This window comes from Homo sapiens, chromosome 16 (genome assembly GCF_000001405.40).
Source record: "Homo sapiens chromosome 16, GRCh38.p14 Primary Assembly".
NCBI classification, from domain to species: Eukaryota; Metazoa; Chordata; class Mammalia; order Primates; family Hominidae; genus Homo; species Homo sapiens.
The window spans coordinates 8377776-8404393 of NC_000016.10; the positions used below are offsets into that span (position 1 = coordinate 8377776).

The 26618-nt window shown below is 42.9% G+C and overlaps 1 long non-coding RNA gene across 1 annotated transcript; it reads left to right on the plus strand.

The window, feature by feature from the left end:
* Positions 1 to 1391: 1391 nt before the first annotated feature.
* Positions 1392 to 26298, plus strand: LOC105371072 (uncharacterized). The gene is made up of 3 exons (XR_933045.2): positions 1392 to 1628; positions 14228 to 14347; positions 25879 to 26298. It is a non-coding gene; the product is annotated as an uncharacterized LOC105371072 (long non-coding RNA).
* The last annotated feature ends 320 nt before the right edge of the window (positions 26299 to 26618 follow it).

Below are 26618 nucleotides of genomic sequence, written 5' to 3' on the forward strand. Positions count from 1 at the left end.
CTACAGTCATGTGGTCCCAAGTGGTAGCTGTCAAAGGCCTGTTGTAGGAAGATGACCTCAATTTCCCCTTCTGTCAGTCAGGCCATCTTCCCAGGCCCCATGTCTAATTCAGAAACCTCCTCTACTCTTCAAATTCACCCTGCTTTACCCCTGGGGCTTAAGGACTGAAGTCAATGGCATCCACAGCTGCCTTTCTCTTTCAATAGTTTTCATAAAATAAGGAGTGATTGAGAGTGGGAATTGCAGATCAAAAGGAGATAGTGAAATGTCATCAGCATTACATAATTTGTACTATCACTTGTCAACATTGATCCCCTTAATACCATCCCTCTGACAGATGAACGAGTCAGTATTGTAGAATACTAACAAGTAAAGGAGAGGGATAAAAAGACAACCATGTTTGATTACCCTCTGCAGTCGAAAGGATTTGAAAGTCATGACACTGGTTATTACTACGGTCTTCAGAGATATGAACAGAAACTTAATCTATCTAATAAAATTGCCTTGAGAGATAAACTTAATCTAAACTTTCTTTCAGCTATCTCCAAGTATAATGTAATGGATTTTTCTTGGTCTCCATTGCAGCACAAGACAGTGAGGTAGAAGACAGACCCACCACGTTAATTAATCCACTTCTCTCTTGTCAAATGGACATGGCGTGTGGAATAGAAGTTGGTACTTCTGAATGGATGGGGGCCCATGTTTAATAGAACTCATCTGATGGGACAATCACAGTCTTTCAGACTAAGGAGACTGCCAGAATGGAGGTGGATGTGGCTTGCAGAACTATTGGAGGGGTACAATGGGGGAGGTGAGAGTGAAAGGGGAAGTCAGGGATATCCAATTGCATCCTTTTAAGAATTTCTGGGCCGGGCGCGGTGGCTCACGCCTGTAATCCCAGCACTTTGGGAGGCCGAGGCGGGCGGATCACGAGGTCAGGAGATCGAGACCATCCCGGCTAAAACGGTGAAACCCCGTCTCTACTAAAAATACAAAAAATTAGCCGGGCGTAGTGGCGGGCGCCTGTAGTCCCAGCTACTTGGGAGGCTGAGGCAGGAGAATGGCGTGAACCCGGGAGGCGGAGCTTGCAGTGAGCCGAGATCCCGCCACTGCACTCCAGCCTGGGCGACAGAGCGAGACTCCGTCTCAAAAAAAAAAAAAAAAAAAAAAAAAAAAGAATTTCTGACCTATCACTATAGAAAAGTGCTTGGGAGTGGAGAGAACTGAGTGGTTACTAAATGCTGGGAACGGGGCTAGACTTTGGGAAAACAATGGTGTATGTGACGGAAAGCCTGCCCTCACAAAGCTTACAGTCTAATGCAGAGATAATCGATTTAAAAAGCTCATCTCCTGGTGTGTAGTATATGCTAGTTGACACCTGGCTGGAAGAAGGACAGCTTGGGAAAGGATGTTGAATTGGGTCGGACAACTGTGTCCCCACCTTGACAAGAGAATACACCTTTCCCAGGAAGAGCTTGATCATCCTAAGTTCTCCAAGCTGTGTCAGATGCTGACTTCCTTTCACACGTCAGAAATAAAACAAGCCTGCATGCACTCGGACCAGTAGTGTGCAACCCAGAGGACTGGAGAGTCTCAGAATTTATGTGGCAGCATCTCTGCCCTCGAAGGTGAGCAACTTCCATTGGAATTTCTTCCTTAGATCCATTTCTTCCTCCGAAGGCTGAAGAGAGGTTCTTGAAACGGAATCAAATCTTATTTTAAAGCCTGCAGCCCCCACTGATGGGAATCATACAGGGATGAGTCACAACCGTTCATGTGCAAAGCAAGCAGTTTCCTTCTCCATCCTGGGGGAGAGGGTCACCACTGCTTTCTGACTCTTTCTCTAATATCTGTATCCCTTTGTCTTTATTTTTAACTTTTTTTCTTTGTAATATATGCTTTTATATATGAGATGAAGGAACCGATATTTATGCATACTTAATATATTCCAGACCCTAGGTGATTTGGATAATTATGTAAAATACTTTTTAGCAGAAGGAGTGAGCATTTATCTTAGAGAGAGACTTGCTTTCATTGACATTATCTGATAAACCTGCTATAGGTTAGAAGCAAGGCGTCTATATCCTGGTACCAGGTCTAACATAGAAGAGAGGAGATACTGTGTTTGATGGCGGGGGAAGATTTAATATTGAAAAGCAGGTGGAAAACATGGCACAGAACTGGTCACTCCATCGGGAATGGAAGGGATGAAGAAGAGGATCTCTCCTGATGGCCTCACCAGGGTGGAAATTGGGGATAAAAAGAAAAATCAAATGGGGAATTCATTGTGTGATACGTGCCATGCCAACACTCCACTACCTCCCTTAAAAATGTTCAGAAAAGGCAACGTTGCTCTTCAAAGCACCATAAAGAAGATTTACTGGGGAAAACACAATCAGAAATGGGGGAGTCCACCCTGCTTGTAAGGACACAGGAGGTAGGGAAGAAAAGCTTCATCAGACATCTCTGCTGTAAAAGCAAACATTTACTGACTAACTCCTCCCCATAATCCTGTAAGACAGATATTTCACGTTCATCTTATAGCTAAGGAAACTCATTTATTTATTTATTCATTCACTTATTCAAGAAACATTCCGGGACTATTAGATGCTAGAGAATGTGCTCAGTGCTGCGTTACAATTGAGCGAGCCAAGCTTTTGGTTTTAGTTTGTTTGTTTGCCTTGGGCTTTTCTCCCTTATTTAACTTACAGTCGAATGGAGATAATCCTCACTCCACGGTGGGGCCCACACACAGGCATGAACAATGGAGCTGGGCGTCACTAGGGTCATCTTTGGAAGCTGCTTCTCATATAGCTCATATAGGAAGTGACCCCTCCCACTCTCTATTTTGGTAGAAATCATGTGCACTCTAAAATCTGTGTTACTTCTCTATAAACTGGGAATGAGATGGAGTAAGATCCATCCAGCACAGTGCCTACTCAATAATAAGAACTCAGGAAGTGATAGCTACTTATGAATGGGCTGGGCTAAACCCCTTTCAGCTTTATGAATCTGACTTTCCTGGTTCTTTCTAACAGCTGCTTATCCTATAAACACCTTTCTTAGACCATTGGCTAATGATGTCCTGATCCTTTGGGTAACATTTCCTCAGCCCCTTTCCTAAAGTTATGCCTCTGCTATTGAAATAAACTCATGAGGTCACAAGAGACTGTTCATCTTTAAAGAAAACATTTCTAAGCAGATGAAGGCAATCCATTAGACAAATTCCCCTGCCCATGCTAATACAGCCCCTGAATCATCTCAACAGCCTGAGGTACTATAAAACACAGTCACACCTTCTTACTTTTGTAATGGAAACAGCAAGTGGGTTTGTATGCAACCCATTCAAAATCTCCAATTTCATCCACCATCTAATCTGTTAATTCCCTTTCAAATGCCCACTTTCTGATGTTTTTCTCCCTCAACATCCATAAGAGAACACACTCTGGGTCTCCCAAAGATGAAAAAAAAAAAGTCATTAAAGGCAAATCTCAAAGTTCACTTTTTTCGTGGAAAGCAGGCAGCTGATGGGACAACCAAATTGACTGGGCTCCCAAGACAGGGCTCTCTCAAAGACATGGAAGAGAAGTCAGTTTGGCAACAGGGAAGTTGTTGTTGCCAGGCGTAAAGATAACTTGCAGTAAACATGGAGAGGACACAGAACGAGACCAACAGGGGGAAATGCATGGAAAAGGGAAAGAAGATCCCACCAGTGGAAAATGACCACTAGGGACAGCAGCTCTAGACAGACCGACGTGCGAGTACATGGCTTGCTGGCTCATTCATTTATATAATTGTGCATTTTCCCCTTAAAAAAATATTTCTCATCAGTGTTATCAGCATGGCCTCAAAATGACTTTCCTACTATTGCTTATAAACAAATCTTTATCACAGATAGCTTGCCTGCTGAATTAAGACACTATGTTAAGCAGTATATTGCTTCTGTCTGGCAGATCAGCTGTTTGCAGGAAGATAATAATACCAAAAGCAACCACAACAATCAGCTACTGTAAATTAACTTAACTGTGTGAAATAATGCCTCCCCTATCAGATTAGCTTTCTGAATGACTTTATCCTTAAATTAAAGCTTGCTGGGGCTGAAGCGTAAATCATTTAAATGGTGCCGGGTTTTTCAGGTAATGTCTTCATATATTACCGTAATTTCAATCCGCCAAGGCATGCAGATGGCTTTGGTCTCTAGCTGCTTGTCTCCAGAAAACCTCTCCTGCACTGCCATTTTGTAATTACAGTGCGGCAGCCCAGTGCCTGCCGCTACTAGATTTCCCAGGGTGCACCAGCAGCCAAGGCAATGTATCTTAAAATTATTATTCTTGTGTGGCCCTCGTAACATAAATGTAAATCTTTTATGCTAACGCTGTCAGAGGGTTAGCTCTGGGGCTCCAAGGTGTGCTGATGTAGAAATCGCCCACCATCCATCAACCACGGACCATTTGGGATCTGGCAAATAACCCGCTTCTGGGGGAGGGGAAGGGACTGCAAGCTGAATATTACTTCGGAGTCTGGGTGGTATCAAACCAGTCACTGCTTTTTTGCGGGGAAAGGTGGCAGGGGTCAGCCTACAAAGCCATCTGTAGCAGGGAGTCTTACGGTTGAGCAGTGCACTCCTGGGAGGGTAGGAAAGTTTGGTGCAAATGTAGGTCACTCTCGTTTTGCAGCGATGTCTGCTGTAGATTACATTGTGGAGGAGAGATGGTAAGTAATATCTTCAGAAACCTTCCTGGAAAATAACCTCTTTGAGTTTCTGTCTTGGGTAGGCTAGCTTTAAGGAGTACCTCTCTCCTGCAATAAAAGCAAACTTATAGGTATCTGAACTTCTAATGTGTTTTGCTCGTTGTTGTTGTTTTTTGTTTGTTTTTTGTCTGCTTGTTTGCTTGTTTTTGAGACAGAGTCTCATTCTATCACCCAGGCTGAAGTGCAGTGGTGCAATCTCGGCTCACTGAATCCTCTGCCTTCCAGGTTCAAGTGATTCTTCTGCCTCAGCCTCTCAAGTAGCTGGGACCACAGGCACATGCCAACTCACCTGGCTAATTTTAGTAGAAATGGAGTTTCACCATGTTGGCCAGGCTGGTCTCAAATTCCTGACCTCAGGTGATCCACACACCTTGGCCTCTCAGAGTACTGGGATTACAGGTATGAGTCACCACAACTGGCCTGAACTTCTAACCTTTGTATCCCAATCCCCATACCCCTCCCCTCTAGGAGGGTCGAGAGACCATATGGAGGGATGGTTCCGGCAGGCTGGGATGGGAACGAGGAGAAAACGCAACAAAGAGGCCACAAAGGCAATGAAGCAACAGGAACAGATGTTCAGATACTAGAGACACAGGTGAGCACTAAATCCAGGGGGTCTTAAGACAGCAATCAGGGCAAGCACCTGGGAGGCAAAATGTTTTTTAAAAAGAAGAGGAACTAGAGGGAAAATGCACATCGTAAGACCTCGAGAGAAAATATAATAGTAATAATGATGATAGCAATAATAGTAACAATCATAATAGCAATACTTAAATAGTAATTATTATGTGCCAGGCACTGTTCTTAGAGATTTATGTACTGTATATTCTATCTTTACCAACTAGCTTTTGGGGCTTTTCTTTGTAAACTCAAGTGATAATGATAGGTGAGCAACTCACTCTAGTTTAAAGACAGACAAGAGGTGAACGTTTTGGCTTTCCATTTCTTTTAGCATTTAAATTGGACAGTAGAAACTGAGCTTCACCCACTATCTGGCACATGGAAAGCAGTAATTAAATAAGCATTGGATTGGGTTTGTAGCTTGCCCAAGACATTTCTAGCAAAAGTGTCCCCGGTTGGTTTGATGGACATGAAGGCAGTGGCCAAATTTCATCAGTGTGTGAATTCTTTATCCAAGAATTTATTTTTCCTAATTCACAAGTTTATTGATAATAGTAAAAATCATGGTTCGACAGCAGAGAATTTTATTTCTGCTAGTCACCCACAAAGTCTATTACAGAAATCATCTCATTTATTCCTTCCAACTACCCTATGGAAGAGAGACTAATTAACATCTTTGCTTTACAAATGAGAAGCTTGTAGCTAAAAGAGGTTAATTTTCTTGACCGGAGAGTAAGGGGTGGAGCCAGAATTTGAACCCTAGAAATTTGACTCTCAACCCTATTAACTTTAATCTATACAACCTTGGATCTGAAATATACCCAACGTGACACTTGCATAGTGAGGAAGGGGACTAACATTGGCAGAGTGCCTTCTAATGCCAAGCCTTATTTTAAATATTCATTATTTTCATTCAACTATATAAAAGCTCTACAAGAAAATGGTAGGTATCCGTATGAGACATGTTTGGGGGGTACCTATCCACACTTGTCCTCCTTCCTCCTTCCTGGGAATCTGACCCCCTCCACAGCCTCTGATATTTATGTAACACCCTTGTATGTATACAGGGATATATATAGGAGATAGATAGATAGATAGATAGATAGATAGATAGATAGATAGATAGATAGATAGATGATAGATAGATAGATAGATAGATAGATAGATAGATAGATAGATAGATATAGATAGATGATAGATAGATAGATAGATAGATAGATAGATAGATAGATAGATAAGTAGACTCCCCTATTGGTTCTGTTTCTCTGGAAAACCCTAAAACAGGCAGTGAGCATCTTACAATAATATCATCTATCCCCGATCCCCAGCCATGAGGGCTGCTATCCCCAGCTGCTTGGACTATGGGTAAGTACTCAATGCAAAGACAGTTCATCTCAGCTGAGGCCATGGAGATTCACCTCCTGGGAATTCAGAATAAGAATTTTGGAATAAGGAACTTGAAGCAGGAAGGTCATGCTGTAGACTGGAGAGGGTATGAACAGCCAAATATACTAGCGGACGAGGAAACAGGGGAAGTTCGTTTGCGGGACAAGGAGAATAAGACAGATACACGCACAGAAATAGAATCGGGAGACATCATGAAGCCCTGGAGGAAAGAGAACAGACTTCCTTTCAGGTGGTCTTTCAATTTGATTTTTAAGTTCTTCTAGAGTCACTGGTGTTGGTTTGAGTTTCTGCCTCTTACGAACAAAACTACAGCCTCAGAGAAGTTAAGTCACTCGCCTGTACTCAGCTTTTCAGTGGGAGGACCGGATTTCAAATCTCCATCTCTGAATAGGCCTTGGTTTTTGTATTTATTATGGAATGTCTTGACCACCAAAAAACATAATAATAGTAAAATAAATATCCATGCACCCATGACCCAGCCAAGAAAATAAAATTTTACCAGTGGAGCTGAAGCCTCTGTGTGCTGCGCCTGGACCCTGTTTAGCTTCCCCTCCACTGCCCCTGACCCAAGAGGTAACTACTCTTCTGCAATTGGTGTTTATCATTCCCCCACCTTTATTTATACATCTGCAAACAGTGTACATATGTTTGTGTGTTTTAAAGCATTATAAAATTGGTATCCTTCTGTATGTTTTCTTCTAAAGGTCTTTCCAACCCAAATGTGCTCATTTTCTCACACTCACTGGTGCATCAAGGTCTGTGTTAGGATGGATTCCCCAGGGAAACAGACTGAGATTTTCAGGCAGGAGGTTTGCTGCAGAGCACCTGCAGAATCAACCCTTGCTGCAGAAAGAGAAAACCAAGTTTGAGGAAGGGGAGGAGAGATGCAGTTGCAACAAAGACCTCAGCCAATCCCTGGGGAGTTCTGAAGAGCGCATGGCTTTTGGAATTGTCTCAGATTGAGGCAAGAGGGCCAGGCCTTTATTCCCCACCATGTTCACCGAATGCATTCAGGCTGCTCCTGGGAAGAGCACGTGGCCGTGGTCCATGTAGCTTCCTCAGGCCAAAAGCATGTCTGGGAGAGCATACTGGCTGAACTGTGTCAACCAACAGTCCCAGCAGCAGGAGGAACAAATTCCTCAATCCTGGAAGGGCACCTGGACAGTGCCACTCGCTGTCCATCACAGGTCCATGGACTGCGCAGCTCGTCTTTTGAGAGAAGTTGCTACATGTTCATTTTAAATGTAACTGGAAACTACCAGTTATTAATCCTCCCATCTCAATTGTAATGTGACAAAGGGAATGCCTTGCTTAAGATTTTTAGAGTAATAGGCCATTATTTCTAAGGAGAAAAAAATCATCCCTGAGGGCCACTGACCTGCAGAGCTTTTCCATTTTTCTCCTTTTTAAAGCTTTTGCGACCTGAAGTATCAGAGCTGCAGTATTATGTAAGAAGCTCCAAGCAAAGAGATTTGAACTTGACTTGAAGTCTTTCTTTACTATTCAATAAAAAGTTGGAGATTTATTGGCCTATGGCAGAGACCAATTTCCTGTTACATGGACCAGAGAGGAGATTAAAAAAAGATTTTTAGAGCAGCGCCCATATTTCTTAAGACAGGCAAAGAACGGAGCTCACCTAATTTTGCAGATCAGGCTGCTAGCATGGTTCTTTTCTCTAGACCGATCTGAAATTAGAAGGCTGGAACTAAAATCCTGCAGTCTCCCCACAGGGATCATTTCAATTTTCCTCTGAGTAACAGCCCCGTAAGGATCGTCTTCACAACTCTAAGGTCAAGGTTGCAAGAGGCTGAGTGTGGAAAGATTGAAGACCATGCCACAGGCTTTCAGTGATGTACATTGGCATGCTCTGTGCAGTCAGAGGAAGAAGGAGTGATTCTAGCAGTTTTCTGAATTTAAAAGCTCTGCTGCAAAGATCTGGGACAGGGCCATGGGAAATACGCCAGAAAGGCCTAACAACAGGTTGGTAGGAGCTATCAATTCCCAAAGTGCACCCAGCACAGGGTCAGACTCTGAGTTGGAATCCTGGTTCTGTCCCTTATTGGCTCTGTGAACTTGGGCAAGTTAATTAACATTTCTGTGCCTCATTTGTAAAATGTAGACACCTCTATCTTACAGAGTTGAAGTGATGCTGACACATAATAAGTGCTCAAAATGTCAGGTTATGACTATTATTATATTTGCCCATTGGAAAGCCCACTAAATATGCATTGAGGATGAACTATCCAGTGGTGGGCTCTGAATGGATATATCAGAGGAAGTCTCAGTGGACTTAGGAAGCAAGAGATTTAGTTCAGCCAGGCAAGTCTTTATTTATTTATTTATTTATTTATTTATTTATTTATTTATTTTGAGACAGAGTCTTACTCTGTTGCCCAGTTTGAAGTGCAGTGGCCAGATCTTGGCTACCTGCAACCTCCATCCACCCCCCAGATTCAAGTGATTCTTGTGCCTCAGCCTCCCAAGTAGCTGGGGTTACAGGTGTGCACCACCACACCTGGCTTCCCAAGTAACTGGGATTACAGGTGTGCACCACCACGCCTGGCTACTTTTTGTATTTTTAGTAGAGAAAGGATTTCAACTTGTTGGCCAGGCTGGTCTCAAACACCTGGTCTCAAGTGATATGCCTGCCTCAGCCCCCAAAAGTGCTGGAATTACAGGTAAAAACCACCGTGCCCAGCCCAGCCAGGCAAATCTTAGTGAACCCATGATATGCTGTACTCTGAGCTAGGCAATGGAGATACACATATACAGAAAACATGATCTCTGCATTCCAGGAATCTACAGTCCTGGATAGGAGGTAGATGCATGAAGAGCAACACACAGACACAGCTGCCACCCTATAAATTGTGTTCAAAGGACAGAGGAAGTGCAGAACATGGAGTCATTAAGCCTGTTCAAGAGTGGCCTGCAAAGGCATCCTAGAAGGGTGATATTGGAATAGAGTGTTGAATGATGAGTAGGAGTTTAACAAAGTTAACAAAATGGGAAGAAATGCCAGGCAAAATGATAGAGAGTGAAAATACACAGCAGCCTGAAAGAATATAACATATGTGGATTTAAAACTTGAAGTTTCACCATTAGACCCAGCAATCTCATTGCTGGGTATATACCCAAATTATAATAAATTGTTCTACCAAAAAAGATAAAGGGACTTACTTGTATGTTCATCACAGTACAATTCACAATAGCAAAGGCATGGAATTAACCTAGATGCCCATCAATGGTGGACTGGATAAAGAAGATGTGATACATACACAACATGGAATACTATGCAGCTATAAAAAAAGTATGGAATCATGTTCTTTGCAGCAACATGGATGTGCTGGATCTTAAGCAAATTAACTCAAGAATGAAAAACAAAATATTGAGTGTTCTCACTTATAAGTGAGAGCTAGAAATTGGGTACACATGGATATAAAGATGGAAACAATAGACACTGGGGTCACTGTGTGGGGCAAAGTCTGAAAAACTACCTACTGGGGGCTACACTCACTACTTGGGTGGGATCATTCGTACCCTAAGTCTCAGTGTCATGCAATAGTCCCATGTAACAAACATGCACATTTACAGCCTTGAATCTAAAATAAAATTTGAAATTATGCAAACAAAATAAGTAAAAAAAAAGCAAAACAAACAAAAAAAAACTTGAAGCTTCCAGTAGTGTGAGTTTGTGGTAAGAAACTTTAGGTAGAGAGGTTATCAGGGACAAGAGCAGGCAGGACCCAGTGAGGACTGTGAATATCCTGCAAATATCAGGAAAGTAGGGTTGTGTGTCTCCCTTGATTTCCCCTATGTGGCTCTGTTGCTCGTCTTGTCATTATCACCTATCTTTTCTTGTTGCACTCAATAGCACTTTTCATTCATTTTAATTGAAACTTTTCTTCAAGTCAGGTAGAGTGCCAACCACTGGGATGGTTTCAAAAATAAACAAGCCAGCATCTCTGTCCTGGGCAAGCTTAAAGTTGAGAAAGAAAGACACACACTCACCGTGCAACCTGATTGATCCCATGATACAGGTGTGGGATACTGCAGGAGCACAGAGGAGAAAGCCTGGAGATTTAAAAAAAAAAAAAAAGTGCCGGAGAGAGCTACAGAGAAGAAGTGGCATTTGCATGGGATCTTGAAGCATGAGTCAAAGTTCCATCAGCTAGAGAACATGGGAAACAACATTCAAGGCCTAAGGAAGAATTTATTCAACTGTTCAGGAGCGTGTAAATATTCAAGGTGGCTGAAATTGTTAAGTGTGCGTGAAATTTCTCCCAGAATCCCAGCTTCCTTTAAGATCCCATTGGTCAGAACTGCATCACATGTTCACCCCTAAACCAATCAAGAGCAAAGGGTCATTAGGTCCCTCATGATTGGCTTAGATCCCGTAATGGATCATCCACTAGGGATGGAGGAGTCATCCACTTTTCCTGAAGACATGCCCTGTCCCAACTTAAACCAAATGAAAATCTATTAACAGAGAAGGGAGGATAACTAACAAGTAGGAAGCCAATGGTCTCCACCACAGGGAATGGATGAGATCTCATCTAGGGAAAGTCCAGATAGAGTAGAAAACAGGACCCATGAGTGATGCCTGAGGAATGTCAGTATTTTGAAATTGGTAGGTGATGGGGAAGGAGATATCAGCAAAGAATCCTTAGAGGAAACAGCCAATGAGATGGGAAGAAAGCAAGCAGGTTGTCGTGTCATGTGGACACAAAGAGGAGGAGGTTTGAAGATGAGGGTATATGAGAATGTCAATCACAAGAAGGCATAAGTAACTTGAAATGACAAAGAGTTTAGGATATTTCTATGTTCCAAAAGGAGAAGCCAGGGGGAACAATGACAGCTGAAGACCTGCTGAATAACTTTTGACTGTTAGGATTTTGAGTACAGAGGCACCTAGCTGAAAATCCTTCCAATCTCAACACAGAAGCAGTGGCCTCCCTGTAAGTCAGCTCCAGCTGAAGCCAAGTCCAGGAGATTTCTGACCCAGAAGGGCCGGCAGTGAGTGGCTTCAGGGAAAATGCTTCTCTGGGAGGCAGGAAGTCTTTTATGTTTCCTGAGCAGAAAGAAGGCAATCTCTTCTGGCAGTGAGGTGACAAGGGTTCCGATGGATTCCCCTCTCCCAGATCAGAATTAAACTAGAGCCTGTCAGCCAACTCGCTGAACACTCAATCTTCCATCTTTATGGGTTTAGCTGTGATGTTATTGCAGGAGTCTTTCAGCATGTGAAAGGGAGGTCATCCTGGAAGAATATATGCACAGAGCCTTCTGTGTTCTCTTTCTATGGGCTCCGGACATTTACCTTGACTTGAAAGGTAACATCTTGGAAGGACAGATGAACAGACAGACAGATGGACAGTACTCGCCATGAATCCCAGCCACAGCCAAAGCCAACTCCATCCTTAGATACCCCATTCTCAAAAGCCAATACATTTTCTTTTGTGCCTCTGCTAGGTGGAGTTGGTTTCTGTCTTGTGTTTCAAAATAGTCCCATCTATTATGCTATCTCTGGCTTACTCTTTCTGAGCCTTGGTTATTTTCACTCACAAAATGGAAACAAATAGCATCAGTCCCGCCTTGCTCATATGGCTGGCATGAAATTGTTCTTGCAAAATGTCAAGTGTTATAAGGATATAAATTATTCCTGGATACATGGCCCTGGCTATGTAGAGGGCTAAAGAACTCTTGACCCAGCAAAACCTGCTCTTCTCTCTTTGTTCCTCATTTCAATGAATGACAGCACCCAGTTGCTCGATGTAAAATACATGGGGTCATTTTTGTGCCTCTTATTTTCCCAAACTCCACTTTCAATCTCTTAGCAAATTCTATTTACTCCGACTTCAAACTATGTACCCGAATAATATGTTTCTCACCTCCACAATGACCCTCGTCGTTGGGCACCCACAGTCGCTTCATCACTGGCCTCCTTGTTTCCACCTTTGCCATCCTACAATCTCCTCTCCATCAAGCAGTCAAGGCAGGAGGTCCTTATGAAATGAGAATCAGATCATGCTGCTGCCTTGCCTTGCCCTCAGTGCTCCAGTTGCTCCCCATCGGCTTCATAAATTCCAGGCTGCTTCCCTTGAATGGCTCCCTGGGATCCTGCATGAACACAACTCCCCGCCCTCTCCCTCAGCTCAGTCTAACCTCTTCACCTGGGATTCTCTGCTACTCTTTGAACACACCAAGTACCTCCCTATCCCAAGACCTTTGCATGTTGTCTTTCTTCTGATTAGAGCTATTCTATCGAAACGTCACCATGGTTCTATCTTTCTCCATCAAACTCTGCCTAGGCAGTACCCCCTTATAAGAGCTTTCCTGAAAGTCCTGTTTAATGTAACACAGGGACACCTGGACACCATACACAGAAACATACTGTTTTCCATGTCATATGAACCCTCTACCCTCCTCTGCTTTTTCCCCTCATTGAAGTTATCATAACCTAACATTATATTACCTATGTATTTGTTTATCTGTTGATGTCTATCCCCCTCCAGAAAGTAAGAGCATGGAATTTGTCTGTCTTATTTATCACCCTTTCCCCCAAATTCTACATCAGTGGCCTGGGATATAGAGAACTCAAATATTTGTTGAATAAATGGATGGAGTTACTCCCCAAAATTGACTGGCTTTGGAAGACAAAAACCAATACTGATATGTGATTGTGTCTACCTGTAAATCTCTAATTTTAACTTTGCTTAGTTTAACTTAGATTCTACTAAGCCCACTACTTCTATCAGAGGTAAAAACCCTGTCCTTCCCAGGGTAAACAAACAGTGTTACAGGCTGGGCTGCTGTGTATTTCTCTTCTTAACCTGTTGGGAAATACAAAGTATAGACAGTCCCTGAAACCTCGTCCTGAGTTTTGACATGTGCCCTGAACTCTGGAATTCTCACACACAGTAATAATGGCTGACTCATTGTTTACTTTACTGGAAAGATATGAATCCTTACAGAATTTCAATTATTCGGAAATCTGCTCAGGTTAATAGCATTGTGATCCCATCCAAACGCAGGAGTGACTGTGGGTTATGTAAGGATATGTAAGTTAGTAAGCTATGTGCTTAATAACACTAGCTCCAGGTCAGGAGGAATTTATTTTTTAAATGGTGTATCATCAAGCAGTTTTATTGGAATGACCATGTGGCTGAATTAGGCAAGGTAGATCATTAATCGGCTTTTGAATTATTTCCATGGTTCCACTTGATTCATAAGAAAAATAAGAATTGCTAAAATCTTTAATGGTATCTTATTCTGTGCCAGGCAGTATGCTAAGCACTTTACTTACCTTGTCATCTCACTTAGGAAGACAATCACTTTTTACAACCACAAGGGAAATAAAATTGATGGCAATTTCTGTTTCTTACACCTGTCTTGAGGTTCAAATCTACTTTTCCAGATGCTTAACTAGACACCCCCATCTCAATTCCTACAGGCACCCCTAATTCACCTGGCCCCGAATGAATTCATCATCTTATTTCCCAGTCTCTCCTTGGACCACCCATCTCAGTGAATGCCATCACCATGCACCAAAGCATCAGAGGCAGAAAACAAGGTACACCCCTAATATCTGCCCTCTCCTTCCTTCTTCCCACCCATTGTCTCTGTCTAATGTCAAGAGGCTCTGTCTCCTCATCTCTATTAATTTTGCTTCTGCCTGTGGTGCCCATCCCTATGGGAAGATTTTACAGTCCTGCCTCATTGAGCCCAGGAGTAACCATGGCACCTGCTTTGTCTAATGGAATATGAGTAGAAGCATTGTGTGTCTCTATCGGGCATAACCTATAAGAGCCAGCTTGTGACTTGCTATGTCTATTTTGCCCTCTCCCACAAAAGCTAAAATAGTTTAGATAAAGCCTTCTCTGTCAGTCTGGATTCTGAATGAGGATGGAAAGGAGCAGAACCCCAGTTAGCCTACAACAGACATGAATTGCCAGTGAGAAACCAGACTTGAAATCCAGTGAAATCTGTACTTGTTACTGCAGCACAATCTAGCATATCCTGACTGATACATTATCTTAATAAATATCTGGCTTGGACTAATAACAGTTTTCCACCTGTTATTTCTCAGCTTCCGGGTCATCTTCCAAACTGCTGCCATAGTGATTTTTGTAGTGTGATCACATTATTCTCAATTCTCTAACTCAGGCGTCAGCAAACTTTTTCTGTAAAGGGACAGATAGTAAATATTTTAGGCTTTGCAAGCCATGTGGTCTCTTGCCACAACCACTCAACTCCGCTGTTGGAGTGTGAAGGCAGCCACAGGCAAAAAATAAACAAATGAGTGTGGCTGTGTTCCAGTAAACTTTATTTACGGAAGCTGAAATTTGGATTACATATCATTTTCACATGTCACAAAATATTCTTCTTTCAATTTTTGTTTTCAACCTTTTAAAATCGGACAACCATTCTTAGCTAACGGGCCATCCAAAACCAAGCAATGGACCCGATTTGGTCCTTGGGCCGTAGTTTGCTGACCCCTGATCCTACTGAAGGTTCCTGAGTTCTGTACGGCATTGAAAGAGCTTTGCAATATCATCTCAGTGGACTTGTCTTGCTGTACCCCTGCCCCTCTTCTGCTCCACAGATGCTAAGCCTCAGCCTTATTGAAGCTATTATCATTCCCTAAATCCACCTTGCTCCTATATGCTGCTAGACCTTTGCACATGCTGGTCCCCATGCTATAAATGCCCTTCCCCTTCCTCCATAGCAAATAAGCTTTTATTAATCCATGAAGGCTGAGCTCAGATGTCACATTCTTCATAAAAACCTTTCCAATGCATGAGGCTGATTTAGTTGCTCTCTTTCTGGGCTTCCATAGAACCTTTTTGTGCCCTTATTATAGAACTCACTTAACCTAATATAAAATAGGGTTTCTCAGCCTTGGCACTATGCACCTTTGGGGCCAAATAATTCCTTGTTGTGGGACTGTCCGGTGCACTGTAGTATGTTTAACAGCATCCTTGGCCTCTACCTACTGGGTGCCAATAGCACTCTCTTCCCAGTTGTTTTTTGTTTGTTCGTTTGTTTTTGTTTTGTTTTGTTTTGTTTGAGACGGAGTCTCTGTCTGTCGCCTAGGCTGGAGTGCAGTGACGCGATCTCAGCTCACTGCAAGCTCCGCCTCCCAGATCCACGCCATTCTCCTGCCTCAGCCTCCCGAGTAGCTGGGACTACAGGCATCAGCCACCAAGCCCGGCTAATTTTGTTTTTGTATTTTTAGTAGAGACGGGGTTTCACCCCGTTAGCCAGGATGGTCTCGATCTCCTGACCTCTTGATCGGCCCGCCTCGGCCTCCGGAAGTGCTGGGATTACAGGCGTGAGCCACCGCGCCCGGCCCACAGTTGTTACAATGAAAAATGTCTCCAGATATTGCCAAATTCCCTTTTCACCCCACACCCCCAACCACGACCCAGTGAGAACCACTTCCCTAAATATCTACTTAGGCATTTAAACATGGAGCTCCTTGAAGACAATGGCTAGATATTCTGCTTTATGATCATAAACACTGAGCATGTGGTCTGGTATAGAGCAGACCTTCAGCAAATATTTGTCGAATGAAGAAAATGAATGACACATTGAAAGTCACTGGCCTCATTAGCATCAATCTAAATAATTTTTAGAAAGATCTCATTCTAGTAATTGTGCTGTGATTTTTTTCTTTACCTTTGCAGAGAAACCAGTTTTGTAAAATCTGAGCATCATAAAAGATTTTCTAGCACATCTATTGTTTTATTTACGCTACTCTCACAAGTGCAATTAACACTGCATCTGTTTTACTAACAACCCCCTTTGTTTTATATAGTGCTTTATATTTCTCTGAATGTGTGCAGGCCTGGGCTTTCCACAATCTGCAACTGGATAAATCGCTGCATATGGATGGGGAAAAAAGACAACAAAAAAATCTTCTAGAGTCATTTTTCCATTCTCTGGCCTATCTCAGGTTACATACGCTATTTAGTTTAGAAAGCCCATCCTACTTCAAGTAGAACACAGAAGAAGAGATAATGCTTTCCAGAAAGACCATGGTATCTGGGGTCCTGTTGAATCCTTCCTTTTTTTTTTTTTTTTTTTTTTTTCAGACGGAGTGTCACTCTATCACCCAGGCTGTAGTACAGTGGCTCTGTATCGGCTCATTGCAACCTCTATCTCCTGGGTTCAAGCAATTCTCCTTCCTCAGCCTCCCGAGTAGCTAGGATTACAGGCACCCACCACCATGCCCAGCTAATTTTTTTATATTTTTAGTAGAGACAGGGGTTTCACCATGTTGGCCAGGCTGGTCTCGAACTCCTGACCTCAGGTGATCCACCCACCTTGGCTTCCCAAAGTGCTGGGATTACACGTGTGAGCCACCACGCCTGGCCCCTGAATCTTCCCTTTAATTGATGTTTTGGTAAGTGCCACTAGAGAATCTTTCCTTTTAACCATCAGAGATGCTTAAGTAACAGCCACATGGAAAAGCAGTCAAAAAGCAGTCATAAGGAGATACCCAGTGTTCAAGGAATCTGAGGCCCATTTGATCAAAGGCGATCCAACTTTAGTTTGTAAACATGTTTCGGTCCAATATCCCAGACTGGCCAAGTTGATGCCAGAACAGATTTCCTCTTTGGTTTAGATATCAAAGAAGATCCAAGAGTGCTTGAACTAATATTAATGAGCATTTCACCTTTAGGATAATTAGGATAAAAAAAGTTTTAGAGGCACAGAGAAAAGTGAAATGGTGAGGAGCTTGGACTATAGTGCCTGGGCTTCAAACCTGGATCTGCCATTACTTGTGGGAACTTGGGGCATGTTCCCAACCTCTCTGTGCCATGATTTCCTCTTTGGTAAAACAAGGATCATCAGAGTACCTACATTCTACGATTGTTATGAAGATTTAAAGAATACATAAAAAGAGCTTAGCAAAGTGTTTGACACATAGTAAGCACCCAAAAAATGCCATCTATTATGAATACAATTCCCTGGTGCTTGGCACAATGAAAACCCTCGATTAATGGTAGCAATTATTATACCAAGTGTTTAAATTGTACTTTGGTGATCATTTGGTTCATATCTTTTCTTTAAGAGATATGCACCCTTAATCCCTGCACACACAGACACACATGCACACACATTGTTAATCCCTGCACACACAAATCCCCGCAGACACACACCCTTAATCCCTGCACACACACATTGTTTGAGCCCAGAGATGCTGTGACAGCCTTCAGTCAGATGAAAGAAATAAAGACAAACTTCATCTTTCATGTTGTGGGTACCTACTATGCACCAAGCATATTGTTTCACCCAAGAATGTAAGCTCCATGAAGTCAGAGATTGTGCCTGATTTATACCACACACTGTGATAACACTATGACATAGGAAGTCACAGGATGTTTGGCAAGAATAAAAATACCGAAGTTGGCCAGGCGCAGTGGCTCATGCCTGTAATCCCAGCACTTTGGGAGGCTGAGACAGACGGGTGGATCACCTGAGGTCAGGAGTTCAAGACCAGCCTGGCTAACATGGCAAGACCCCATCTCTACTAAAAATACAAAAATTAGCCAGGTGTGGTGGTGTACACCTGTAATCCTAGCTGCTCAGGAGGCTGAGGCAAGAGAATTTCTTGAACCCAGGAGATGGAGGCTGCAGTAAGCTGAGATCATGCCACTGCGCTTCAGCTTGGATGACAGAGAGAGGCTCAGTCTTAAAAAAAAAAAAAAAAAAAAGAAAGAAAACCAAAGTCCCATGGATGAAGTCCCTGACAGAGATAACAACTGAGTCAAGTCTTACAGAAAAAGTAGACAAGAAAGACAAGTGTGTGTTTGCACCGCTGTTTTACTTCTTTCTTTTTTTAAGCCCAAATCACCAAATCCTCCCTATACTTATGCCCTAAGGAAACATGAGCAAGACACAAATGTTAACATTGAAGACCATTTTTTATTAGTATTTCTTTACCTCTGCACTGAAGGGAAAATATGTTTATTCCAAACCTTAACAAAAGCTTGGTTCTAAGCCTTGGTGAAACGTTCCTCATTCCTCCATGAGTAACCCGTTTTGATAATCGTCCCCTAGAGATCAAACCAGCTCAAAGCACAATGATTGCCACATTCTAAATTTAACTGACCGCACAGATGCATTACTAGCAAGCAGGAAAGAGCCTTTGCTTTCCTGGCTTGGAGGAGCAGGATGTTTATGACCTGTTTATAAAGTCTGCATAAAATACAGCTTCAGAGTTCTATCTGTGAGTGGGCTACCTAGAGTCAAGTGTTTCTTTTAAAATATGATGTATCACTTACAAGAACGGTTTCTTAGTCTCTAGCCTTCCCCTCGTTGGCTCCCTCAAAACCCTTGCTCTCCCATAAATAACAATACGAAGTGATGCCTTGACCATGACTTTCATCGTGCCCCCACCTGTATGGGATGTCTTCCGTGGTGGATTTTTGTTAAGAAACAAAATACAACTTTTATTGAGATCAATAAAAGATTAAGGTGACAAAGTGATTTATTGACTATCGAGGAGGCTCATTTTTCCCTAACAACTGCTATAGCTACCAGAAAGGATGTATTTTTTACCCTGGGTCTTCAGGAAAGTTGTGAGAAGCCAAGACTCATTTATCAAGTCAAAAGAGAATGATTAAAAACCATAAAGAAACAGACAAAGAACACACATGAGAAAAAAAAAAAAAAGCCCTATCATGGACTATTTTGCTAAAACACCCAAGTTGTCGAGTGTGAAGAGATGGAGGAAATTCATGGGGTGTTTTGTGGAATGAGGCTCAGGAGGATGTGGGGAGCAATGGATCAGAACGGCTGGGGCTGAGGTCAGAGCAAGGAAAGAAGTGAGCATTGAGAAATGGGAAAACAGGCTGAAAGCTGTGGTGTCTGCCATTCACCACAGCGAGGGGCAGAGTACAGTCTGAGCACCAGCATGACATCCCTGTAGGAGGATTACCTACTATGATATGAACAAGATTCTTCCGTTGTGCAAACACCTTACTGTTCTTCCATCTCCTTGTCCTCTCCCATGGTTTCCCCTATGTCGATAAGGTCCCCACACCCCACCCTCTTCCTTTCCTGGAGCCTATGTCCTCATCCTTCAAGGCAAACTCAAATGCCTCCTCCTCCGCTCCAACTCTCCCAAATAGGAGGTGTCCCTTGCTACCCTCTGATGATGAAAAATGTGAGAAACCCCCAAGTAAAGGGACCCTATTATATTGCAGACACAATGCAAAGCTAATAATATCCATGGGGTCAAAAATTTTGTAGATTTTCTTTAGGTCTTCTTCCCTAAAGACTGGAATAGCTGCATACATGGATGGGGTTTCATAAATATGTTTTTAATAAATGAAGCATGAGCTAATGAAATCCCCAGAACAGACCCATGAGGGATAGGTGTTATCATCCCCATTTTGTTTTTTTTTGTTTGTTTGTTTTTGAGATGGAGTTTCACTCTGTCACCCAGGCTGGAGTACAATGGCGCGATCTCGGCTCACTGCAACCTCTGCCTCCCAGGTTCAAGTGATTCTCCTGCCTCAGCCTCCTGAGTAGCTGGGATTCCAGGCATGTGCAACCACGCCCAGCTAATTTTTGTATTTTTAGTAGAGACGGGGTTTCAGTATGTTGGGCAGGCTGGTCTTAAACCTCTGACCTTGTGATACACCCACCTCGGCCTCCCAAAGTGCTGGGATTATAGGCGTAAGCCACCGCGCCCGGCCTATCCTTCCCATTTTACAGAAAGGGAAATCATAATCACGTCCAGAACTTCACACAGCACTCAAACATAGCTAACATTTGAATTTCCCCTTCCTCTTGTCAGTCTGTCGCTGCAGAAAGCAACCCTACTAACCACACCCCACCCCCAAATCCAGCTGCCCAAAAAGAGGGACGATAACCTCTGGTGAGACAATAGGCAACGTGAAGTCTAGAGGCACGTATTAAAGAAGTTAACACCTGGCCTGTGGACCTTTAATGAAAATTAGGTCCCATGCTATTGGGAATAGAAAATCATCCCATGAAACCCTCTGCCTTTATAGACTCTGAGACCCATGGCACCTCCTCAAGGTGAGAAGGAAGAATGGTAGGGGCAGAGTTTCCAATATAGCAGCCATCAAAAGTCCCCATTAACTCTATAATGAGTTGACTTTTAATTTTGACGTAATGATACATAGCAGCATGGTTACCCTCTGGATCAGCATGTCATGAACACCTGTTTGGGAAAGCTGAACTTGCCAAGCATTGATTTTTTTTTTAAGTCAGCCAATACAGTTCCACATCTAGAAATCTACCCCGTAGATAAACTTGCATTTGTGAGAAATGACACAGTCATGTCTGCAAGAGTTAACTATTGGGAGCTGCCCAGAAATCCATCCATAGGAACTGGTGCAAAGATATATGCATGCTCACACAATTACATAATACACAGATATTTAAAAGATCAAAGTTGTTCTTCATGTCCTGATGTGAAATAATTGCCAAGATACTAAGTAAAGAAAGAAAGATGAGGCTGAGCGCAGTGGCTCACACCTGTAATCCCAGCACTTTGGAAGGCTGAGGCAGGCAGATCACTTGAGGTCAGGAGTTCGAGACTAGGCTGGCCAACATGGTGAAACCCTGTCTCTACAGAAAATACAAAAATCAGTTTGGCATGGTGGTGCACGCCTGTAGTCCCAGCTACTTGGGAGGCTGAGGAAAGAGAATCACTTGAACCCAGGAGATGGAGGTTGCAGTGAACCCAGATTTTGCCACTGCACTCCAGCCGGGGTGACAGAGTGAGACTCTATCTCAAAAAAGAAAAAGAGAAAGAAGAAAGAAGGAAAGAAAGAAAGAAGGAAGGAAGGAAGGAAGAAAGGAATGAGAAAGGGAGAGAGAGAGAGAAAGAAAAAAGAAAGAGGGAAAGAAAGAAAGAAAGAGAAAGAAAGACAGGGAGAGAAAGGAAGGAAGGAAGGAAGGAGAAAAACTATGTATGATACTGCTACAGATGCAGAGAGATCTAAATGTAGGTCATATAGATACAGATACATATACGCACTCATTTGTTTACCCAGAATATCTCTGGAAGGATACAGGGTAACCAGCCATAGCAGTTTCCTCATGGGAGTGAAGATATGTGGCCATAGGATAGTAGTAGGAAAGAACTTTTCCTCTTGTGCCTTTTGAATTTTGTATTACACACATTGTTGTCATATGTATGTCATTCAGCAGAGATAAACTTAGTGCCCGCTATGAGCTAAGTATATGGCAATTATCAACTCTCAGCAATTCCTATACCCCTGCTAGCAGGAAGATAGAAAATAAGCAAGATAATTATTAAAAAGTCAAAAAATAACATATGCCGGAAAGATTGTGGAGAAAAAGGAACACTTGCACACTGTTGGTGGGAGTGTAAATTAGTTCAAGTATTGTGGAAAGCAGTATGGTGATTCCTCAAAGAATTAAAAGCAGATCTATCATTCGACCCAGTAATCCCATTACTAGGTATATACTCAGAGGAATATCAATCATTCTACCATAAAGATACATGTATGTGAATGTTCATTGCAGCACTATTGACAATGGCAAAGACAAGGAATCCAGTTAAATGACCATCAATGACAGATTGGATAAAGAAAATGTGGTACATATACACCATGGAATACTGTGCAGCCATAAAAAAGAATGAGATCATGTCTTTTGAAGGAACATGGGTGGAGATAGAGGCTATTATCCTCAGTAAACTAACATATGACCAGAAAACAAAATAATGCCTGTTCTCACTTATAAGTGGGAGCTCAATGATGAGAAGTTATGAACACAAAGAAAGAAACAACCCACACTGGGGTCCACTTGAGGGGGGAGGATGGGAGGAGGAAGAGGAGCAGAAAAGATAACTACTGGGTACTAGGCTTAATTCCTGGGTGTTGAAATAACCCATACAACAAACTCCCATGGCATGAGTTTACCTATGTAACAAACCTTCTCATGTACCCTCAAACCTAAAATAAAAGTTAAAAAAAAAAGATAAATATACATATACATTTAGTATATTTTTTATTTTTATTTTTATTTTTTTGAGACAGAGCCTGTCACCAGGCTGGAGTGCAGTGGCACGATGTTGGCTCACTGCAATCTCTGCCTCACAGGTTCAAGCCATTCTCCTACCTCAGCCTCCTGAGTAGATGGGACTACAGGCACCTGCCACCACGCCCAGCTAATGTTTTGTATTTTAGTAGAGACAGGGTTTCACCATGTTGGCCAGGATGGTCTCAATCTCCTGGCCTCGTGATCCACCCACCTCAGGCTTCCAAAGTGCTGGGATTATAGGCGTGAGCCACCACGCCCAGCCCTACACTTACTACATTTTTAAATAAATTTTATTGTGTATATTTAAGGTATACAACATGATGTTATAAGATATATATGTAGTAAAATGGTTACGATAGTGGAACAAATTCACATATCCATCATCTCACATAGTTAGTCATAGTTTTTCCACGTGTGGCAAGAGCAGCTATAATCTACTCATTTAGCAGAAATCCTGACTGCAATATACTGTTATTCACTAAAGCCTTCATGATATACATTAGGTTTTTCAACAAGTATCAGTGTTAAGGAGAAAAAATTAGGGAAAATTAGTGGGCTGTGAATGGGTGAAGAGTGGTTGAAATTTTAGGGAGGGAAAGAGAGCTTAACTGAGAAAATGATTGGCCAGGAGAATGTAGAGGAAAGCATTCGAGCCCCAAGGAAGGGCTGGGACCACGGCATGTTTGAGGGTGAATAAAATCAGTGTGGTATGGCCAGGCGCGGTGGCTCATGCCTATAATCCCAGCACTTTGGGAGGCTGAGGCAGGCAAATCACTTGAGGCCAGGAGTTTGAGACCAGCCTGGCCAATATGGCAAAACCCTATCTCTACTAAAAATACAAAAATTAGCTGGGAGTGGTGGCGTGCGCCTGTAGTCCCAACTACTGAGGAGGCTGAGGCAGGAGAATCACTTGAACCTGGGAGGCGGAGGTTGCAGTGAGCCAAGATTGTGCCACCCCACCAGCCTGGGCAACAGAGCGAGCCTCTGACTCCAAGAGAGAAAAAAAAAAAATCAGTGTGGCCAGAGTGAACAATGAAGAGAGCAGTGGCCAAGGAGGTGACGGTGGGGCATATCATTTGGGTCTTCCAGGAAGGAGTTTGGCTTATACTGTGAGGGAGAGAGGAGCCACTGAAGACTTGGAGAAGATAAATAGCGTGAACAGCGTGAGTGTTAGTGGGCACTCTGGCTGGGTACCATGGCTAATGCTTGTAATCCTAGCTGTTGGGGAGGCTAAGGCAGGAGGATCACTTGAGCCCAGGAGTTCAAGACCAGCCTGGGCAACACAGAGAGACCCTATCTCTATTAAAAAAAGAATTTAAAAATAACAAGACCTCGTGACACATGCCTGTAATCCTATCTACTTGGGAAGCTGAGGCAGGAGGACCGCTTGAGCCCAGGAGGTCAAGGCTGCAGTGAGCCATCATGGCCCCACTGCACTCCAGACTGCGTGACAAAGTGAGACTCTGTCTTAAAAAAAAAAAGTCAATCTGGCTGCTGCATAGAGAATGGACAATCTAGGGAACTGCAGAACCAAAACAACCAGTTAGGAGGCTGTTGCAATAAGGGAGAAAACAGTGGCCTGCAGCAGGACAGTGGTGGCCACAGGGTGGAGAGAAGTTGTTGAATTCTGGATCTTTTAAAGATAGAGTTAGCCAGACTCAAGAGGGTATCACATGGGAAGTATGAGAAAATCAGAGGAGTCAAGGATGACACTGCCTTTTCAAAAGTTATTATTTTTTAAATTGGCAAGTTAAAATGTTTTATGTGTGTGTTTTATGCATGACCTCACGTGTTTATCTTTTTTGCGTGTGATAAAAACACTGAAAAGCCTACTCTCAGTGATTTTCAAGCATACTGTACATCGTGATTAGCTACAGTCACCATGATGTCCAATCGTTCTCTTGAATTTATTCCTCCTTTCTAACTGAAATGTTGAGTCATTTGACCAACATTTCCCCATTGTCCCTCAACAACTGCTCCATCCTGACATTGATATTCTCTGAGCCAGTGGCAGGACACGTGTGTGTGTGTGTGTGTGTGTGTGTGTGTGTGTGTGTGTGTGTGTGTGTGTTTTTACAGGTAAACCAACAGTCAATTTGGAAGAACAGGGAAGCATCTGAGAAGAGACTGTTTTGCTGAACCAGCAGCTTAAGCCACATCCAAAGCTCTAAGTCCATCCTCAGCACCACTGGTCCAAGGAGACTCAAGGAGGCAGACCACGCACAACTCTAGGAGCTTGGCCAGATCATAATCTCTCCACTCCATGGTGGCTAAGAATACGGGCTCCGCATCTAAAATGTCTGTGTTCTATTCCTCGCTCTGCCACTTACTGGCTGGGTGACCTCAGACAAAGTACTTAACCTCTCTCGGTATTTCCCTGTCTGTTAAATGAAGATAATAATAATATCTATTTCCTCGAGTTGTGCTGAGTATTAAGTAGTTTAATTCATATATAGGACTTAGCATCACGCCTGACTTGTTGTGATGGTTCAGTCAATAACAGCTGCTGCTGGGAAAATGGAAATTATTTTACTTGCGTCATGGGTTTCACTTTTGGATTCAAGGAGGTAATGTGTACAAAGCCCTAGACCTTTGTACTTTTTACAGTGCCATGTAAACCTAAGTGGTGAATTGATGATGGTGGTGATAATGATTAATGCTGCCACCAAAGTCTTGACTCTCAACAACATGATAAGGTAGAAGAATTGAGCCCTTCTAAGGAGCTCGGCGGGGTGGAGAGGTTGGGGGAATGGGGCTGGGATGCAGAGCACAGCAGAGGGCAAGCTGGTTAAAGATAAGAACTTGGTCGAAAGAACCAATAATGCTGCTTATCCTGGACACAAGAAAATTTCAGGGCAGGGAATCACCCAGAGCTGGCAGGAGAATAGATTGCTTTTGTCTCACTAGCTCTAAGCACCTTCCTTTGCAGGGACTAGAGAATGCGGTTGTGGAGATGCCTGTGTGTAATCCTTGCTAGCAGCAGACAGGAAGGAGGCATTGGTTTCAGCACAGATAATTCTGCCCCTTTCGAATGTTTTCCGCATGCAGCTGCACAGAGCTGAGAGTGGGGACAGTCTCAAGAGGCCCTGCAAGCCACACCTCAGACACATCGCAAGGATGGCTGCCTCTTGCCACAGAAGTCCAAGCCAATAATTCTCCTCAAGCTGGAAAATGGATGATCTAGCTCCATCCATGGAAGAAGGCAGGACGATGTGGAAAAGATAAGTATTCACCAAACATGCACATACACACACACGCTAAACCCACACACCAAGTTAGACCCACAGATAAGCCAGTCACAGGCACACACAAACACATACACAGACCTATACCAGCGCGGAGAGACACAAAGACACAAAGAGAGACATCCCAAATAAACACAGATAGGCGTACAGACACCAAAAGACCATGCAAAAGTGCGACCACAGAGAGGCATGCAGGAGATAATGTGTAACACAAATATACACAAATGCAAATTCAGACAGACAAGGTGACAAATACAAGACGCAGATATGCATAGACCCAAAGATGCACACATATGCATGCACACACACTTGCACGTACACATGCACACACACATGCACACACGCACATGCACACACGCACATGCACACATGCACACACACATGCACACACACATACACACATGCACATACACACACATGCATCACATAATGCAATAATGAAAAGCTAAATGACATCTAGGAATTAGCATTGAAAAGTAAAAAAGAACTGTGGTGAGAATTCTGTGAGTTCCCAATGTTCAAAGAGGGTGGGATAGTCTGCCC